This window comes from Homo sapiens, chromosome 3 (genome assembly GCF_000001405.40).
Source record: "Homo sapiens chromosome 3, GRCh38.p14 Primary Assembly".
Taxonomy (NCBI): Eukaryota; Metazoa; Chordata; class Mammalia; order Primates; family Hominidae; genus Homo; species Homo sapiens.
The window spans coordinates 46,461,591-46,480,339 of NC_000003.12; the positions used below are offsets into that span (position 1 = coordinate 46,461,591).

An 18,749-nucleotide genomic window follows, 5' to 3' on the forward strand; every position below is an offset into this window, starting at 1 on the left:
AGACAAGAAAATAGATTAGTGGTTGTCTGATGCTGGGGTAGAAATGAGGATTAACTATAAACAGGCATGAGGGACCTTTACTGGGGGGGATAAAAGTGTTCTAAAACAGATTTATGGTGATAGTTGCACACTCGGTAAGGTTACTGAAACTCATTGAATTGTACGCAAATAGGTGATTTTTTATGATATGGAAAATGTACCTCAGTAAAGCTGTTACCAAAAACTAAAACAAAAAACAAACAAACAAAAAAACAAAATAAACACACAGTTGTAAAAGCCCTCTGCCCTTTGGATGTGCTATGGGGTAGAATGTTCAGCCTCTGCTGTCTCCTGTTTCTGAGCCATCCCCTTATGGCGAGAGCCACCCATGGCCCTTGGGTGGGCAAGAGGCCTGTAGCTCCCTGGCTGAGTCTGCAGAGGTTTGGGGACACCTAGCTGCCATACTCCCCCTTCATCCACCCTCATCCCGGGGAAATCCCAGGGAATATAATCTTGCCTTGGAAGCCTTTATAGAACTATCCCACACTGAGAATTAACCCAATCAGATGCAGCCATTTGTGACCCAGTGAGCATTAACTGGATGCCTGCTGTACAAACAGCACTGTGTGTCACGCAAGGAATGTGTAAGCGGACAGGACCAGATTTCACTTCTCACTGGAGAGGCAAAAATCCAAAAAGAGGAAGCTAAGAATGGTGGATGTGTTAAAAGAGAACAAATACCAAACAAATACCAGCTAATGGAGACATACGTGTCTCCATTAGTTGCCACAGCTCCTCTGTATTGTGAATTCTGCCAACCTCTCCATTCTCCAGGGGAGGGAGCTATGGCTTTAACTAGTTATGTGGCTTGTGGAAGTTCCCATAGCTAATAAGTAAGTGTTGGATCTAGGACTCCAACCTAAGCAGTCAGGCACTAAACTCCCCTACTCTTACCACTGGGCTAGCCTGCCTATTTAGGTTGGCAAAGTTAGAGACAGGTTGGAGATGGGGCTAGAAAAGGGTCTGGGTCAGATCCTGGAAAGTCTCCAATGCTGATCCAGGGAGGTCTTATTCAGGATGCAGTGAAGCTGTGACTCACGGGAGACTCTCCCTAGGGCAGGGGCAGAGTGAACTGAGACCTGGGAACAGGCAGAGAAGCTGTGGCCAACGAAGGCACCAGGGAAGGGCTAGTCTGAGTGGAGAGAGGGGACAGCACTGAGAACAGAGAAGGGGGCAGGGAGCTGGTATCAGAAATCAGCTTGGTAATGGGTGGGTTCTGGGGGTGAAGGGAGAGAGTAAAATGGAAGACCATGCCTCAAGCCGGAGGTGGGGGCTGAGCAATGACGGGAACCTGTGGGCAGAGTTCATTTCTTCCCCTAAGAGGAGCTGAACCAGAGTGACTAAAGGACCGCTGAGCTCCCTTCCAGGATTCCCAGTCCCCAGCCCCCCAAACACCAGGTGAAGTCTCCACGCTCTTACCTCCCAGCTCTGGAGCTGTGTGACCCACAAGCTCTTACCTCCCAGCTCTGGAGCTATGTGACCCCCTGAAGCAGGTCTAGGTCTGGCCCCTCCAAAATCTTCAACCCCACACTTGTATTCAGTGTCAGGCACTCAGATGCTGCCCACTGGACCTGGCTGGACACTGGCCAAAACACACATTCTGGGCAGACATGCAGTGCGCTGGCCTCCAAGGCAGGGGCCAGGACAGGAGTTACTCTCCCCACCTACCCACACAGCTCATGATAGGGCCCAAGCAGACTGCTCAGACTGATGGGAAACCTCATGAGTGCCTCCCAGCCCATGGCTCCAGGGCTAAGCAGACAGACTCCTCCACCCAATGCTCACACGGCTTAGATCCAGCTGGCCCCACTCACCCAACTTCTGTCAGCCTGGACACCCACGGGGAGCAGGGCAGGAATTCCACAGGGCAACTGCCACCCTTTCCTCAGGAAGGACAAGGGTTGCAATGGCACTTTGGGGTACAAGCCACCATCCCAATTGACTGCAGGATTCAAACTTCAGACCTCAGTAGGCGCCAAAACAACTAAAGATCCAAGTGAATATAAAACCCAGTGGTGCAACTCTGAGCCAGAATCCTGGACCACAGCCCATGACCACTTCCAGGAAGGCAAGGCTTCCTTCCTCTCCTGCCCCTCCCAGGTGGCCCTAACCCTGTGCAACAGGCCACTCGCCAGGGAGCTTGAGGGGAAGAGAACAGTCGGGTCCTGGCCAGTCCCAATCTGTCTTAGAGAAGAGAAGGATGACCAACACCCATGGGAAGGAATTTGGAGCAGGAGACCAGAAGGGCAGGGACAAGGATGGGTTTGGGCTCCCACTGCTGCTCTCTATCCACCGCCACCTCTTCCATCCAGGAAGCTCCCAGCCTTAGGTAGATGCCGTAAGACAAGTGGAGGCTGCACTGGGCTGGGGAGGTGTGACACCTGGGCTTTCACTGTGCCCCTCCCACTGCCTAGGTCCTGATGCCCATCACAGCCCTTTCTGCTGCGGCCTGGGACCTTCCCCTCCCGGTGCTGCAGGGAGCTCCGCACTCACGCATTTAGGTCACTAATGTGCAGCGCTGGGGAGTGCCCTCTGAGCACCCGAGAAATTACTTTGGTTATGGAACTGACAATTGTTTCCTTCCTTCTACTCCTTCCTTCTGTTTGGCTGACATTTCCCTCTCAAACCCTCTGACACAGGGTTCCATCAGGAGCACCGCACCCCTCCACAACCCTCTGCCACGGAAGGTGTGCGAATGCCCCATCTCCTCCTCACAACCCTGTGGACCCATGGTTAGGCCGTTTCTTTAAGTGAAGAAACTAAGTCTCATAAAGGCTCGGTCTTGCTGGGGTCTCACAGTCCTCGCAGGAGCTAGGATCTGGACTAGGGTCCTTGAGCTAGTCGCTCACCCTCTCTGAGCCTCACTTTCCTCCCAGGTAAAACGCATGTCACAATACAATGGGGACCAAATCCTTAGGCGGGACACAAAGGGACAGGGGCCTGGGAGGCCTTTTGAGAAGCTCTGAGCAGAGCTAGGCGTGCCCCGATCCGGCTTGAGGAGCCCAGCTCCTGTTCCTCCCCATGTGGGAAAGAGACTGGCCCCGCGTCCGGGCCGCCTCCCGGCTGTAGGCGCTGGGACCGCGGGGCGCAGAGACCCCGCGCCCAGCCAACCGGACACAGGGACCAAAGCGCCTAGCAGACAGGGCGCAGGAGACGCCCATCAGGCGGCTCGCGCCCCCAGGCACCTGCACTCACCGAGGGCCCCGAGGAACAGCAGGACGAGGAAGACAAGTTTCATGTCTGCGGTCTGGAGGCGACTTGGCAAACGAAGGCTCTGCCACTTGCGCCTGCCCTGCGCCCCTTTATTCAGGGCTTTGCCCCGCCCTGTTGCCCAATAGACACCCCTTCCCTCCCCACTCCCCGCGGCCAGGTCTACTTGTTCCTTGAGGATCCAGGCTCCGAAAAGCCCTGAGGCAGGACAGGACTCCACACCGCGCTGCGAGAGGAAAGCCAGCCTGCACCTCACCTGTCCTGGTTCTGCCTGGCTGCTGCGATGTTCTTTCTCTCCCACTAGTCTGCAAGCCCCTAGGAGTCGCAGCCCCCTGAGCCCTGTCCCAGCTCTGGTCTCAGTGCCTTCTAGAGGGCAGGACACAGAGCAGAGGGTCTTTACTTGAAGATCGCCTTGACCTGTGAGACTGCTATCTTCTTCAGCAGATGACCTTGAAGGTGCCTAGGAGCCAGTTAGGGCAGGTGGATTTGCTTTCACCTTGGCTCAGCAGTGAGCTGAGAGTTGAAAAGATGACCCGACCACCCCCAGCAGCAGCCTAGGGACAGCTGACAGAGAAAAGAGAGGCTGCCCAGAGTCTCAGGCAAGCTGCCCATGGGGTATCTCCCTGCCCTGCTGAGACCCACAATACAGCTCCCAGAAAACAGACAGGGACCTCAGAGGGGAATGGCCACCACCCAAGGCTGGTTCCATGTTCTTATTTGCCAATGAGAAAGATGCCCTATGGCTAAGATGCCCTACCACTTTTTTTTTTTTTTGTCTTTTTTTTCTCCATCTCCTCCTTCTTCTTTTTTGGTGTTGATAGTATTCAGTAGGAAATGGTAACCTCATTTTAACAATCGCCATAAATGTCAGATTTTAAAATTCAAAAGCTAGAATACTGCTTCTAAGAATACATCTCGTAAATACATTCCCATGACACACAGCACCCCAGGTACAAATGTTTCCAGGCACCACTGCATGCCATTAATCAGTTGGAAGCAAACTAAACATCCATCTCTAGGGGAGTGTCACATACAGCATGGTGCCTGTGGGACACATTGGGGGCCTCAGAAAGAATATCCTGTGTGTATGGATGTGAACTTAGCCCAAGAGTAACTAGGCAGGGCACAGTGGCTCATGCCTGTAATCCCAGCACTTTGGGAGGCCAAGATGGGAGGATCGCTTGAGCCCAGGAGTTCAAGACTAGCCTGGGCAACATAGGGAAACCCCCATCTCTACAAAAAATACAAAAATTAGCCCAGCATGGTGGTGTATGCCTATGGTCCCAGCTACTTGGGAGGCTAAAGTGGGAGGACCATTTGAGCCTGGGAGATGAAGGTGGCAGTGAGCCATGATCATGTCACTGCACTGCAGCCTGGGCAATAGAGTAAGACTCTGTAACCCCCACCAAAAAAAAAAAGGGTAACTAAGTGAAGAAAAAAGGTACTAACAGTGAGGGAAATAATAGGTCACCTGAACACCTTTCTTGGCAGGTGAGTCTGACCAATATGTGACTCTGAAATCTGCTTATTCTGAAAAGCTGGTCTTGACTCTGCTTAGACTACTTGGTACTAAAAAGCATTTCCTGGAGCAGATAGGCAATGCCCCAGGGAGCCAGCTCTGCCAAGAGTGAGCATGCAGTGGGCACCTAGCCATGGAGAAGCAGGCTCAGCCCAAGGTGGAGAGGCCATTAAGGAGGCTGGGGAGCCCCTCCATTTCTGGGCATGATCCTGCCAAGGCACAGGGTGGAGGCTAATCAGGGATCATGCTTGCCTGCCATGAGACTGGGGTCTGAGATTTGGTGCTAGAATCACCAGCTGGGTTTTGGGGTGACAGATCCAAGGTCTCTCATTGTTTGGAAACATGATATTGCACCATTTAAAGTTGCCATCATCAATAATTGCAATAAGTTCTTTCAAAAATACTGAAGAAATACAAAATTGACTAATTCCCAGGAGTGCTGAAGCATCTTTGTACCTAAATTGGCAACAAGACTTTGCCTTTTCATCATTATAAAAGAATTAAGAAACATCATAACCCGTGTCTCTTTTTCTGAGTCCAAATTTTAAAAAAGGATGACTGGGAGGTCAGAGGGCCCTGGGCCCTCTTAAGTATGTTACAGTGTTGGCAAGAACACAGAGAACCTGGGGCCACTACCAAGAGGCTCAGCTTAAGGAGTGCCCTGAAGGCAGCATGGGTAGGCAACAGGGCAGACTGTTTTCCTGCTGTGCCTGTTGGAACAGCCCAGCCCCAGGGCAGGGATGTGAGCATCTGGACACAGGCAGAGCAGCCCCTCAAGGCCATTTGCAGAGGAGGCTGATGTAGGGGATGAGTCTGCCCCAAAAAACAATGAAGTTTCACTGATCTATTAACAGCATTCATTCATTCATTCATTCATTCATTCATGCCAGAACTGGTAGATGCCATGAGAGACAGAGAAGAGGGGTCTGTCCTTGCCCTCAGGAGCTCACAGCACTATGGGGGAGGGACAGTCACAGGAATGCACTTCTATCACAGAGGCTCCCTAAGAAGAGGCCAAGCAGCATAAAGCAAGTGAGTGTGAGGGCCCAGAGGAGGAATGACCAGCACCCATCATGAGGGCTCCAGAAGAACTCCAGGAAGATTTAGCCTGGGTACCTGAAGGAAGGGTGGGATTTCTACAGGTAGAGCATTCTGTAAAGTAAACAACCAAACAAGTAAAGGCTTGGGAGCATGAACCCAGTGACCAATTACCTGAGCACTAGGGACAACAAAAGTTCCCTCTGGCTTTCTGGCCAGGAATTCTTTTTTTCTTTTCTTTTCTTTTCTTTTTTTTTTTTTTTTTTTTACCGACAGGGTCTCCCTCTGTCACCTAGGCTGGTATGCAGTGGTGGTGCAATCACAGCTCACTGCAGCCTTGACCTCCTGGGCCCAAGCGATCCTCCCACCTTGGCCTCCCAAAGTGCTGGAATTACAGGCATAAACCATTGCACCCAGCCATGGCTTGGAACTCTTGTTGGAAGAAGGATTAACAAAATCCTCCTCCTCTATCCTGAGCTCCACATCATGTGTTCATCTGCCTCTGGAAAGGTACTCTTGCAGGTCCTGAAGGCGCCTAAATTTAATGCATCGAAAATGCAACTCACCCAGTCCCTCCAACCCTGAACCTTTTCTCATATTTCCTACCGCTTTCCACCAAACCCACCAAAGAGCCGCAGAGGCACCCTCAAATCCTTTGGCCAGTTAGCTCTGTGCATGTTATAGGCACTTGATGATCAATATCGGTTGAAGGAATGAATAAATGAGGAAGAGGAACAGGCTAAGAAAGGGACAAAGGATCCTGTTTGTAATGTGTTGGGTCTGAAGGATAGTGAGGGTCAGGGCTGCCTAAGCCAGGCCATGCCAAAGCCTGTGTACATGGACTCATTAACTTACCCATTCATTCAACACTGGTCTATGGGACATCTCCAACGTGCCAGGAGTTGGGTCAGATCTCAAAGAGCCTGCAGGGAAGCAGAATGCAGGTTTCCAAATGCTGAGACAGTAACATGAGTTTAAGGAGCACAAAGAAGGTAGCTGCTGTGGAAACTGCCATGCAGTGGCAAGAGCTAGTGTTCAACAGGCAGATGTGTGAGGCTGACTCCCTTCCCCCTAACCCTGCTCTGCCCCCACCCTCAAAACTCCTCCAGGGAGCCTTTACAGAATTGCAGGCCCAAGCCCCATTAGCAGGCAACAGTCTCTGGCCAACCTAAGTCCTCCCTGCAAGCCAGTAAACCTCACACCCTGCCCTCTATGAGCCTCTAGCTTCAAACCCCAAGAAGAGTGTTGGGAAGGAAGTGTGAGATCTGAGTAGAACTGGCTTCAGGTGGGATAAGGCAGAAAAGGCCTTCCTGAGACATCAACTCACGCTTGGACAATAGCTTGGCAGATGGGAGACCTTGGGCCCTGTATCTTTTCCCTGCCAGTGGTGAGAGATTGCTGACTTGAGAACCACTTGTTAAACATTTAGGGATTTGGGGTGGGTTAACTGATGGCAGCTTGATATCAGGCATAGTCGATGTATTTATGCCATGGAATTAGCAAATGCTCTAAATCAGGGCTTCCTCCTTCCACACCCCCAGAGGGCCAGTTGACCAGCACACAGCTGCCTACGTTCATCATTGGTGGCATGCAGTGTCCACATTAGTGTGGGTGTGTTTGTGTATGGGTGGCTGTGCCATCCCTAGCAGAGAAATAGGATAATAATCTTTAATATTTGGATGACATTTTAAAATCCAAATAGTGCTGTCAGTGACTTTGTTTCACATGGCTTTAACAACGACTCTGTGAGTTAAGACAGTCACTCTTTCCATTCTAAAAACAGGTACTCTGAGTGTCGCCTGAGGTCACACAGTGAGTGAGATACAACTGCTATCCCTGAGTCTCCCATTAGGCCCACAGCCAGGGGCTTTCTCCTCCATGAGCCAAGAACCCTCTGAGAGCTCAGGGTGCAGGGACTGAGGCCCAGGGATCTCAGCACAAAGGGAACCTGGCAAGAATTGAACCTTCCGTGAAGCAGGCCCTGCCTGGCCCCTTCCACACATCAGCTGGCTTCTGATGCTCTGGAAATACCAAAAGGTGCTTGTTATACCTGTTTCCAGCTGAGTGGACTTGGGCAATGCACCCTGTTCATGGTCTCACAGCCAGTGGACAGTAGAGCTAGAAATCCACCCGGGACCCCATCCAGTGACTTCTTAGGGCCTTGGTGTCTTAGTATTGATCATTTATTTGCTGATCACCCTGAAGAGAGGGGCAGAGAATGGGGGAGAAGGAGAAAGAGATGGATGGAGAGCTGCCTGTGTCTCTACCCACCCAAGTCCCCCCAAGATCCCAACACAGACAATGACCTTGAGAGAAAGGCCCTCACATTTGGCCCCACATTGGCCCTTTTGAAGACAGCCAAAGGCCCTAAGAGTCTGGGAACGTTTCTGGGCTCCTGGGAGCTTCCATCAGGAGGGAAGATCTGCTGAAGGGCAGCAGGCAGGAAAACAGTGGCTTCATTAGCCAACACGTATTGTTGCCAAATGTTGCCCAATTTACAAAGGCCCCACAGAGACAAGGAGCTTCTGTCTGCTTGGATCAGCCCTCTTCTTCCTCTTCCTCTTCCCTCCCCTCACCTAACCCTCCTCCTCTGCAGGACCCTCTGCCCTCTGGCCCTCTCCTCACAGGGACAGCCCTCCTGGGGCTGGCTTCTCCAAAGACCTGCTGAGCTTGCTCCCCAGTGGGCAAGGGGCAGTGGAATGAGCTCATGCTTCCAGTCCCACCCCACTTCTGAGTTTTCAATTCTCCTGGCCGGGATAGCACCCCAAGTTCCTGGCAGAATCTGAACTGAGCACCTAATCACCATATCCTTTGAGAATGTACAGCAGGTCAGGCCCTGGGGGAGAGCCTTCTGGGAAGGTGCTGGCCTGGAGGGAGCATGTGTGTGGCCCAAGGCCAGCCATGCAAATTTCTTCCCAGAAGGAATGAGGCCCTGGCCCAGGGAAAGTTCCAGGCAGAAAGTACCTGAGTTGCTGGCCCATGGTGCTGCCCTCCTACAAGGTTGCATTCTGGAGGGGACTGCTCCACAGGCTTCACTGTGCTGGAGGCCTCTGTGTCTGCTGTCTGTGTCCTGCAAGGACAAGATCAGCTGGATCCTTCACTCAGTAGGAGCCTGAGATGGGCGAGCAGAGGAGTGAGGAGGCATGATTTTCCTCCATTTCTCTGGGTGAGGCTGCTCATCCCCAGCTCTTCCAGGCTAGAGATGCCCAGCTCCTCTGACCAGTCCTCAAGCCTCACTACTGCTCTGGTAGTGGACTTCCTCATCCCACCATTCCTTTATTCACCTGACAGCTGGGCAGACGGGAAGGCATGGGGAGAGATGTGGTTAGAAGCTCAGAGATGGGATTGGCTGGCTAAGTTTGAACCAGTTCCACCCTAAACAGCTCCCTGGACCTAGGTCAGTCTCTCAACCTATCTGAGCCTCAGTTTCTCCATATGTAAAAAAGAGACACAAATAATATCCACCGTATGAGGTGGGTAGAATTAAAACCCGATGTTGAGATGCTTGTGCAGTGCTCAGTACAGACAAGCTGTCATTGATATTTGCAGACATTCATGAGCCCCCACTGTGTGCAAAAACCTCAGCTGGGCACAGAGGTTCAGGGTTGAGCAGGAAGGAGCCCAGCTTCCAGCAGTTCCTGGTCAGTGAGAGGGGCTGCATGGACCCAGAGAGTCGCCATCCTACTTGCAGACAGTGTTGACAGAGGCTGCGGGGAGTTTTGAGAGTGGAGGAGAGAGTGGCAGAGTCTGTTCTCCAACATGGCCCTTCTAGGAGAGCACACACTGCCCCCAGCTGCCTGCCTTTTCTAGAGTGTTCACAGTCTGGCTGGCCTACTCTCCATCTGTGTCTCTGTCCTAATCCCTGCCTCCTCTCTTTCTCTGTCTGTTTCTCTCTCTCTCCTTGGCTTACCTTCTCCCTCTCTATCTCTCTGTCTCTATTTCCCTCTCTGCCTTAAACACCTATGTCTATACGGGTTATGGATGCCTGCCATAGGGAGGGGCTCTGACCCTGACTGAGCTTCCTCTAGCATAGTACTTGTAACTACTGACACCTGTCCCTGCACCCATGCCTTCACTCTGAGTTCCAGGAGGGAAAGGACTGTGGTTGACTAGCTGTGCATCCCCAGGGTCCACCTCCAGGCTTGGCCCAGTGGAGAGCCTCCCTCAGGGCTGTTGACCAGGTGAGTGTGGGGAGCAGAGGAGGACAAGCCCTGCATAAAGGTACACGGAGAAAGGAGCAGGGAGCGGGCCACCCGATGGCCCCTACCTCGCCCTGTGTAGCACCTACCTGTGTGTGTCTTGAGGATGGAGAGGCTGAAGAGGAGATTTCTCCATCACCCCCAGCACCCAGCACCTGCCTGCAGAGAAGCTGGGACCTACTTCTCCTACTGAAAGGTCTCCTCTCCTACAGCCCCATCAGCTTCTAAGGGTAAGCAGCAAGGGCACCGGGAGAGTATCAGGGCAGTGCCAATGATGAGCAAAAAGAAATATAGGGGCTGGGGGCCATGGGGACAATTCCCCCAAATTTTAACACGCACCACTTTAAGGCCGAGATGCTGTCATGTTAGCCAATTTTGTTTGCAGTCAGAGGCTTGTTGGAGCCTCCAGAGGGTCCTTGGCAGCCCAGGGCCTCCCTGTGTCGCTCTTTCTGGGCATAAGTCTTTTCCAGCGACCCTCCTCCCTTCTCACCCTTCCCTCCCTTCTCCCTCCCAGCTCTAGATTCTACCCTCCCCATTTCTTCCTCTACTCTTATTCAGCTAAAACCAGAAGTAAAGCTAGCACAAACTCATATGACTTTAGGAGGTGCCTGCCATGAGCTGTGGTATTTATAGTGTGTGTTTTTACTGAAATTACACCCTCCCAAGGCCATGTGGCAGGCAAGCTACAGAGAGTTCTCATCCAGAGTCCTCTCGGGGGCATCCTGTCCACTCATCCTTAGCCTCCTGTGTGCTACTGTTGAAGGACAGAGAAGGAGCAGAGACAGGGAGCAAGATGCCCCTTTTTCGTGATCAACCTAGCAAAACTTCATCCTAAGCAAAGTCTTCCTCCAGAGGGTATTAATCTCCAGAAAATCAATTTTGGAAAAGATTATTGTGTGTGTGTGTGTGTGTGTGTGTGTGTGTGTGTGTGTGAGAGAGAGAGAGAGAGAGAGAGAGAGAAGTTCTTGCTCTGTTGCCCAGGCTGGAGTGCAGTGGCACAGTATAGCTCACAGCAGCCTCGAACTCCCAGGCTCAAGAGATCCTCTTGAAGTTCAGCCACATGGTCAGCCCTTTTGAGTAAAGCTGACCTCTCCAGAACATGTGTTGTTGGAGGAATTAGGGGGAAGCTGTGGGTATGGGGCTGGGGTCCAGGAGAGCAATGCCTCTGAACCAATAATGTTGTTGCTAAATGTTGCCCCATTTGTGAAGGAAACTCAGCAATCAAAGAATTTGTCTCAGCTTGAATCAATCCTTCCTGCTTCTTCCCTTTGTCTTCTTCATCCCTCTCTGGAACCCCTCCAGGTGGCCTTCTCCTCACTTCATCTGGCAAGGCGGGGGCCAGACTCCCCATGTCTCTAGGTCAATACATGTGTGTCCTTACAGATTCCCCTTTCTCTTTCAGTCACTACATGTCATCTGGGCCCAGATGCATTCAGTTCTTCCTCCATCCTGCCTCTTGCGCCTGCCTGTTCCTTTCCATTCCATGGTCTGGAGATGACCTTGGACTCCTGCCTCAGCTTCTGACCACTCTCCTGACCCTCATCTCCCCAAGTGCACCCTTTCCTGAGGGAAACTTTCAGAATCACAGAGCTAACCATGGTTCCAAGGAATATTTTCTTGCCCTTCCTCTCTTCTCCCATAATCTGCTCCTGAAGAACCTCAATCTCCTTCCTCCTTTGGATTAATACCTTCTCTGTGCTGAAAACTACTTTATTCTACTCTACTCTGGCAATGTGTACTCAACTGTGAACAGAACAGCTCAGCCTAGAAGTTCCACCAGCGCCTCAAAACAGCATGTCCAACTTCCAGTTCTGGATCAAGATGGAGTAGGCATATCTCTCTCTATTCCTCCCACTAAGTACAGATTAAAATGCTAAAGATTATAGATGTAGTGGTTTAACCAGCACAAATGTATTATCTTACAATGCTGAAGATCAGAGTTTCAAAATCAGCAGTGAACTAAAGAATGTAGGGCTGTTTTCCCTCTGGAGGCTCCAGGGGGAATCCATTTCCTTATTTTTTTTCAGCTTCTAGAGGCTGACTCCATTCTTTGGATCTGGGCTGTACATCATTCTCACCTCTGTGGCTCTCGTTACATCTCCATCTCACACTCTGACCTTCTTGCCTCCCTCCTGTAAGAACTGTCATGATTATACTGTGACCATCCAGAGAACGTCCCCATCTCAAGATCTTAATAACATCTGCAAAGTCCCTTTTGCCATTTAAGCTAACATATTTACAGATTCCAGGAATTAGGACATGGACATCTTTGGGGTCCATTATTCAGCATACCACTCCAGTAGGCTGTGATAAATCATGTGTGTACTAAGTAATACCTACGGTAACCACTACGTAACCTATACAAAGATATATACTCAAAGTTACTATAGGTACATCAAAATGGAATTCTAAAAAATGTTTAAGTAACCCACAGGACAGTGAGAAAAAGAAAACAGTAAAATCTAAAAACAGAGAGAAAAAAATAAAATAAAATGGTAGGCTTAACACTAACATATCAATAATTACATAAGTAAATAGTCTAAATACTCCAATTAAAAGAATGGGATTGGAAGAGTGGATTAAAAAACATAACCCAGCTCTAAGCTTTCCACAAGAAACTCATTAGAAAAAATAACAATGTAGGTAGCATGAAAGTAAAATGATAGAAAAACATAAACCATGCAAACATTAATAAAAAGAAAGCAGGAAGAGCTACATTAATATTAGATAAAGTTGAATTCAGGGCAAAGAAAATTATTAGGGGCAGAAAGAAACATTATGTAATAATGAAAGAGTCAATACACCTAGAAGTCATAACAATCCTAAATGTACCCATCAAAAAGCAGAGCTGCAAAATACATGAAGAAAAATCTGATAGAACTAGAAAGAGAAATAGACTCCACAATTATAGTTGAAGACTTCAAACCCCTCTACCAACAACTGATAGAACAGACAGCAAATTAGCAAGAGTGTAGAAGAATTCAACAACACCATCAACCAGCAGAACTGAATCAACATTTATAGAGCCCTTTACCCAACAATAGCAGAATATGCATTCTTTTCAAGTTCCCACAGAATACTTACCAAGATAGACCATTTCCTGGGACATAAAACAAACCTCAACAATTTTTTAAAAATTGAAATCATAAAAATTTATTCTTTGATCACAATAAAATCAAACTAGAAATCACTAGCAAAAAGATAGCAGAGAAATCTCCAAACAGTTAGAAACTAAATATCACACTTCTAAATCATCAGTGGGTCAAAGAGGAAACCTCAAGTAAAACTTTTTTCAAATACACTGAACTTAATGAGAATGAAAATACAGCATATCAAAATGTGTGGGATGCTGCTAAAGCTGTACTCAGAGGGAAATTTGTAGCACCAAATGATTACATTAGAGGAGGAAAAGCCTCATATCAGTAATCTAAACTGCCACCTCAAGGAACCAGAAAAGGGAGAGTAAAATAAACCTAAAGCAAGCAAAAGAAAGAAAACAGAAGCTATCACAACAGATCCTAAAGACAATGGAAGGATAACTCAAGGACTACTAAAAGATCTCTACACACATACATTTGACAACTGATATGAAATTGACCAATTTCTCCAAAAAAACAAACTATTGCAACTCACAATATGAAACAGATCATCTGAATTAAGAAACAGAGCTCATGATTTTAAAACTCTCAAAAAAGAAATCTTCAGACTCAAATGGTTTCACTGTCGAGTTCTACTAAACATTTAAATAATTATCACCAATTCCACACAACCTCTTCCAAAACCGAAAAGAGGAAATACTCTCCAATACATTCCATGAGGCCCGTTTGTTAGCAAGAGAGAAAAAGGAGAGGGTCATCTCTGTTATTCTTGGGAGAAACTCCCTATGAGATGTCAGTCACTTTCATCTGCTCTCCCCCTAAACACACACACACACACACACACACACACACACACACACACACACACACACACCCTCTCTTCATCTACTCTCCAACTCTATGGCCCTGCAAGGCATTACCATGGGAACCATGTGGCTCCTTTGATCCAGCTGCAGCCAATTGACCATTAGAGACCACCCAACTCAAGCTGGCCAAGTAATCTTTTTTAAGTTAAAAAAAACTCTCATATGGAGAAATATAAAACATAAATGTACAATTGAGCAAATTATCCCAAAGAACACTCATGTAACCACCACCCAGGTCAAAGAAAACTGCTAACATTCAAAAACCGCTTATGCCTCTGCTCAACCCCACACCATCTCCCAACCCCTAAAGCTAGCTACTACTATAATTTCTACACTACACCTTAGATCTGCCTACTTCTGAATTTTATATAAATGGAATCATATAATATGTATTCTTTTGTATTTGATTTCCTTCATTCAACATTCTGCTTGTGAGATCATCCTTTAATTCATTTTCTAATTTTTATTTCATTTGGTAATAATTGCTAGTATTAGAAATACAATCTATTTTTGTATTTATCCTTCTGTTTGACAAGCTTATTAAATTCACTTATAAAATCTAATTACTTGGGAGTTTCCACTAACATAATAATGAGAGCTTTATCCTTTCTTTCCAGTGATTTTGCACTAGATGGGACTTTCCGTACAATGTTGAACAGATATGGAGATAACAGCATCCGGGTCTTGTTCCTGATCTCAGAAGGCAAGCTTTCAACATTGTCCCCATTAATATGATATCTATTTGCTGTTGGCTTTTTTGTAGATATGTAGATTCTATAGAAACTTTTGTAGATTAAGGAAGTCCCTTTAGATAGTTAGTTATAAACATGAATGGATGTTGAATTTCAGCATCAACTGAGATAATCATTTGATTTTTCTCTTTGGTTATGAATCATACCAATTTATTTTCAAATACCAAGCCAAACTTACATTTCTCTTGCAGTCTGTAAATGACAATATTTGTCTTTTAAAAACACACTTTTTATTAAAGTGTAGCATACATATGCATATATAACAGCAGATGCACAAATCATACATGTAGAGTTTGATGAATTTTTAAAATTTGAACACCTCGCTAAAAAACAGCTCTCAAATAAAGTAAGAGAAGATTACCCGCCCACAAAAACTCTATACATGCCTCTTTCCAATCACTACCCCAGAGGTGATCACTATCCTGACATCTAACACAATGTATTCATTATGACTGTGTGTGAAGTTTTTATAAATGGAATTGTATAGAAGGTGCCTGAGGTTTTCTGTTTAAAATTTTGTTTATTAGATTCTCCAATGTTGTTCCATAAAGAAATAGCTCTTACATGCTCACTTCTGTATAATCTTTATGTATGTGAGTGTACCAAAGTTACCTGTCTATTCTATTGGTAATAGATATTTTGGTCGTTTCTAACTTGGGGTTATTACAATGGTGCTGAAGCGAACATATGTATTCTTTTCTGTTGGTCATGTACTTAGGAATGGAGTTTTACAGCATATGACTACGTTCTGCTTTAGAAAATTCTGCTAGTTTTCCAAAGTTAATTGTAGCAATTCATATTCCCACCAATGTATATGAGAGTTCTAGGGGCTTCACATCCTTGCCAACACTGCCATTGTCTGTCTTTTTCATTTCAGCCACTCTGTTTGGGAATGTCTTTTGTCCATTGTTTGATTATTTGGTAAGGCTTTTTCTCATTGGCGGATAGTTCTTTCAATATTCTTCAGAGTCACCATTTCCCTCCACTTGCCTCTGTGAGGGAGCCCAGGGCTCCTCCTCCCTCAGCTCTTCTAAGCCCAGATGAAGCCTGGCCCTTCTGAGCACATCCCAAGGCCACACCTGCATTCTAGGCGACTCCCTTGTCCCTTTGATTCACTGGGTAGTCTGGTGCCTGAAAGGCAGGGTCAGTGATGAGAGTGGTTAAACATCGCAGGCAGGGGAGTTTGAAACCAGCTCTACCTCTTCCCCACTCCCCAGATCTAGCCACGTCATTCAGCCTGTCTCAGCTTCAGTGTCCCCATGTGAAAATAGGAATACTAAAAGCATCTCCCTCATAAAATTGTTAGAACTTAATGAAGTAACTTATAAAGATGCTTAGAACAGTGCCCAGCACATAGGGGCTGCTCAATCGATATTTTTTGAACGAAGGAATGGGTGTGTGAATTAATAAATGAATGGATGTAAGATTTTCAGTACAAGGCCAAACCATACAGTGAAAACTCAGTCAATATTAACTATTATTGTTATTGTTTCCATGCATTTCTGGTCCCCGTTGTGAGCCAGAACCTATGCAGAGTCCTGGGAATCTGCAAAGAGTTCCCTTTCCCCAGGCGGCTCCAGTTGAGTCACAATCCAACAGAAGGTGTTAGCAAAGGCAAGTTCACCCTACAGGGAGGACAGAGGGCCGAGCGGGAGCCACTTTCCCCAGTCTTCCTTCTCAAGCTAACCCAGCAGCGTGCCCCAGCCCTTTTACAGACATCTGTCTTTGTGATTCCTTGGGCCCCTCTCCACACCCACACTCCTTATGCCCACATTCTGTCCTGTTATCTGCAACCCTTTGTAACTCTTTCACTCCTCTCTCTTTTATGACGTCCACTTCTCTCTCCAGTTCTCTGTCTCTCTCACCATCATGCCCTCTTCCCGCCCCACTGCCCTGAGACTTTTCCTAATGGCCCCTCTCAGCAGCCTGGGCAGCCTCCTTGAATTTCTGCTCACCAGTAACCCAGCTGCGTCCCGACTGTCAGTCTTGGCTTTGCTCCACACATCTTCTCTCTCCCCCTCCAAGGGTCTCTGGGCTACAAGGGAAGCTTTCCCAGAACCCATGTGGCCACTCAGTCACTTCCCCAGAGGCTGAAGGTCGCTATGTTGGTGACAAAGGGCAGGTGACACACTTTGCTCTCCACAGTGCTATCAGCAGGCATGAGCAGGGTCCCTAGAGAGTGCCAGGGACCAAAGGGTGAGGCCAGGTCCACCCCGCTCTTAACCATCACTCCCCATCTTCCTGGACAGTGCAGCTGGATGAGGAAGCAGCCGCAGGATGCAACGTAGATGCTAGAGGGCCAAGGGGAGGACAGAAGAGGGTAGGGCAGAAGATGACTGGCAGAATGAGGAACTAGTGGGTGGGCCTGGGGACCTCGTAGATGAAGCAGAACCTGATGGCTATTTGGAAATGGAGGAAAGAGTCACAAAAGTGAGCAATTTCCAGGATATTTGGAAATATTCTGGCTTGAGGTTACTACCTTGAAATAATTTGACCAAGAAAATCAGACACTCTCAGAAAATAATATTTTTTATGCCATTTTACAAATGAGGTCTCTAAGCCCAGAGAGGGCGTGTGGCCTGCTCAGACCTGACACAGTGCGGCCAGGTAGAATCCAGCTTCCTGACTCCTTGCACTTAGAGGGGTTCCCTCAACTAAAGCCATCCTCACAGAGCATTTATCCTGGACCAGGTCCTTGTTAGGTACTGGGTCACCAAACTGAGTTAGACTCAGTTCTGCCCCCAAGGGCAACAGACAAGGGAATAGTCAGTTACCACCATAGGAGATGAGAATGTCCATGGACCACGGTAACAGAAGAAGCATGGAGAACCACGCCTGTGCCCAAGGCTCTGTGCGTGGTAGGGAATCTGCCTCCCACCTGTGGCAGCTCTGGAGGAGGGGCAGCCTGACCTGTGACAGGCAGGGAAAACCCCATAGCCCCCTCTCTCCCACCCTGGCATCTTCCAGCAACCTCCACAAAGTGGGTTTGGCCGGAACCAAGTGATTGAGGGGGAGATTACAGGGCCCGGGAATTGTGGGGCCCTGTGGGTACCTAGAAGACCATCTGCTTTTACTCTGAGGATGTAGGAGCCAAGGCAGAAGGCTGAGAATGGACTGAGAGGCAGAACAAGTGGGGAGCAGAGAGATGATTAGGGAGGCTCCAGCAGTGACCTGGGAGAGAGATGAAGTGGCTTTTCTGTTTGTTTGTTTGTTTGTTTGTTTGTTTGTTTGTGACAGAGTCTCGCTCTGTCACCCAGTCTGAAGTGCAGTGGCACGATCTCAACTCACTCCAACCTCTGCCTCCAGGGTTCAAGCGATTCTCCTGCCTCAGCCTCCCAAGTAGCAGGGATTACAGGCAAGTGCCACCACCCCTGGCTAATTTTTGTATTTTTAGTAGAGACGGGGTTTCACCATGGCTGGTTTCTAGGCTGGTCTCGAACTCCTGACTTCAAGTGATCTACCCACCTCAGCCTCCCAAAATGCTGGGATTACAGGCGTGAGCCACTGCGCCCGGCCAGAAGTGGCTTTGATTAGGATGTGGCAGTGGAGAAATAGTGAGATGGCTGGATTCTTGACATATTTTAAAGGAGGAGGTCATGGGATTTGCTTACATTACAAGGGGATGTGGGGTGTGAAGGAGAGAGGTGGATGATGGCACCAAGGTGTTTGGCCTGAGAAACTAAAAGGAGGTAGTTTCATTAACTGAGATGGGGAAGACTGGGAATAAAGCAGATTGAGGAGGAGGTGGATCAGAAGCTCCATTCTAATCATGGTAAGACTGACAGACCCCGGACACCCAGGTGGATCGTGGAAGAGCCAGCTCCCTGACTCGCTGCCATTCAGAATGGCATTGTTGCTATAAAAGCCAAAGTTAGAGGCCTTGAACTTTATTTAAAACTAATTTTTGGACCATGGGCTCATTTTCCTCCAAGAACAATGCCTATTCACACAAATTGCTGTGTCCAGCTCCTGGGGTTTGTAGAATGCTCTGTATCATGTCCCTGGATTGTTCTCACATTTCCAGAGTT

The 18,749-nt window shown here is 48.1% G+C and overlaps 1 protein-coding gene across 4 annotated transcripts in view, besides 3 other annotated features; it reads right to left on the reverse strand.

Annotated features, from left to right (window-relative positions):
* The window catches only part of LTF (lactotransferrin), a 49,590-nt gene that overhangs the window by 25,946 nt on the left and 4,895 nt on the right, over nt 1–18,749 (reverse strand). For 2 of the 4 annotated variants that reach the window (NM_001321121.2, NM_002343.6), the window contains exon 1: nt 3,235–3,315. In NM_001321121.2, the coding sequence (NP_001308050.1) occupies nt 3,235–3,277 (43 nt within the window). In that variant the 5' untranslated portion in view covers nt 3,278–3,315. Of the gene's footprint in view, nt 1–1,853; nt 2,065–3,234; nt 3,316–6,661; nt 6,730–7,856; nt 8,006–8,770; nt 8,877–18,749 lie in introns of those variants that run through there. The other 2 variants (NM_001321122.2, NM_001199149.2) reach the window with 2 other exon arrangements.
* Nucleotides 8,633–9,132: an enhancer, noted in NCBI's record as "H3K4me1 hESC enhancer chr3:46511713-46512212 (GRCh37/hg19 assembly coordinates)". NCBI's record gives its function as "activates a minimal SCP1, AML or CMV promoter by ChIP-STARR-seq in naive H9 embryonic stem cells {active_cell/tissue: H9 hESC(naive)}" and the evidence as "EXISTENCE:reporter gene assay evidence [ECO:0000049][PMID:30033119]".
* Nucleotides 16,335–16,836: an enhancer, noted in NCBI's record as "H3K27ac hESC enhancer chr3:46519415-46519916 (GRCh37/hg19 assembly coordinates)". NCBI's record gives its function as "activates a minimal SCP1, AML or CMV promoter by ChIP-STARR-seq in primed H9 embryonic stem cells {active_cell/tissue: H9 hESC(primed)}" and the evidence as "EXISTENCE:reporter gene assay evidence [ECO:0000049][PMID:30033119]".
* Nucleotides 16,837–17,336: an enhancer, noted in NCBI's record as "H3K27ac hESC enhancer chr3:46519917-46520416 (GRCh37/hg19 assembly coordinates)". NCBI's record gives its function as "activates a minimal SCP1, AML or CMV promoter by ChIP-STARR-seq in primed H9 embryonic stem cells {active_cell/tissue: H9 hESC(primed)}" and the evidence as "EXISTENCE:reporter gene assay evidence [ECO:0000049][PMID:30033119]".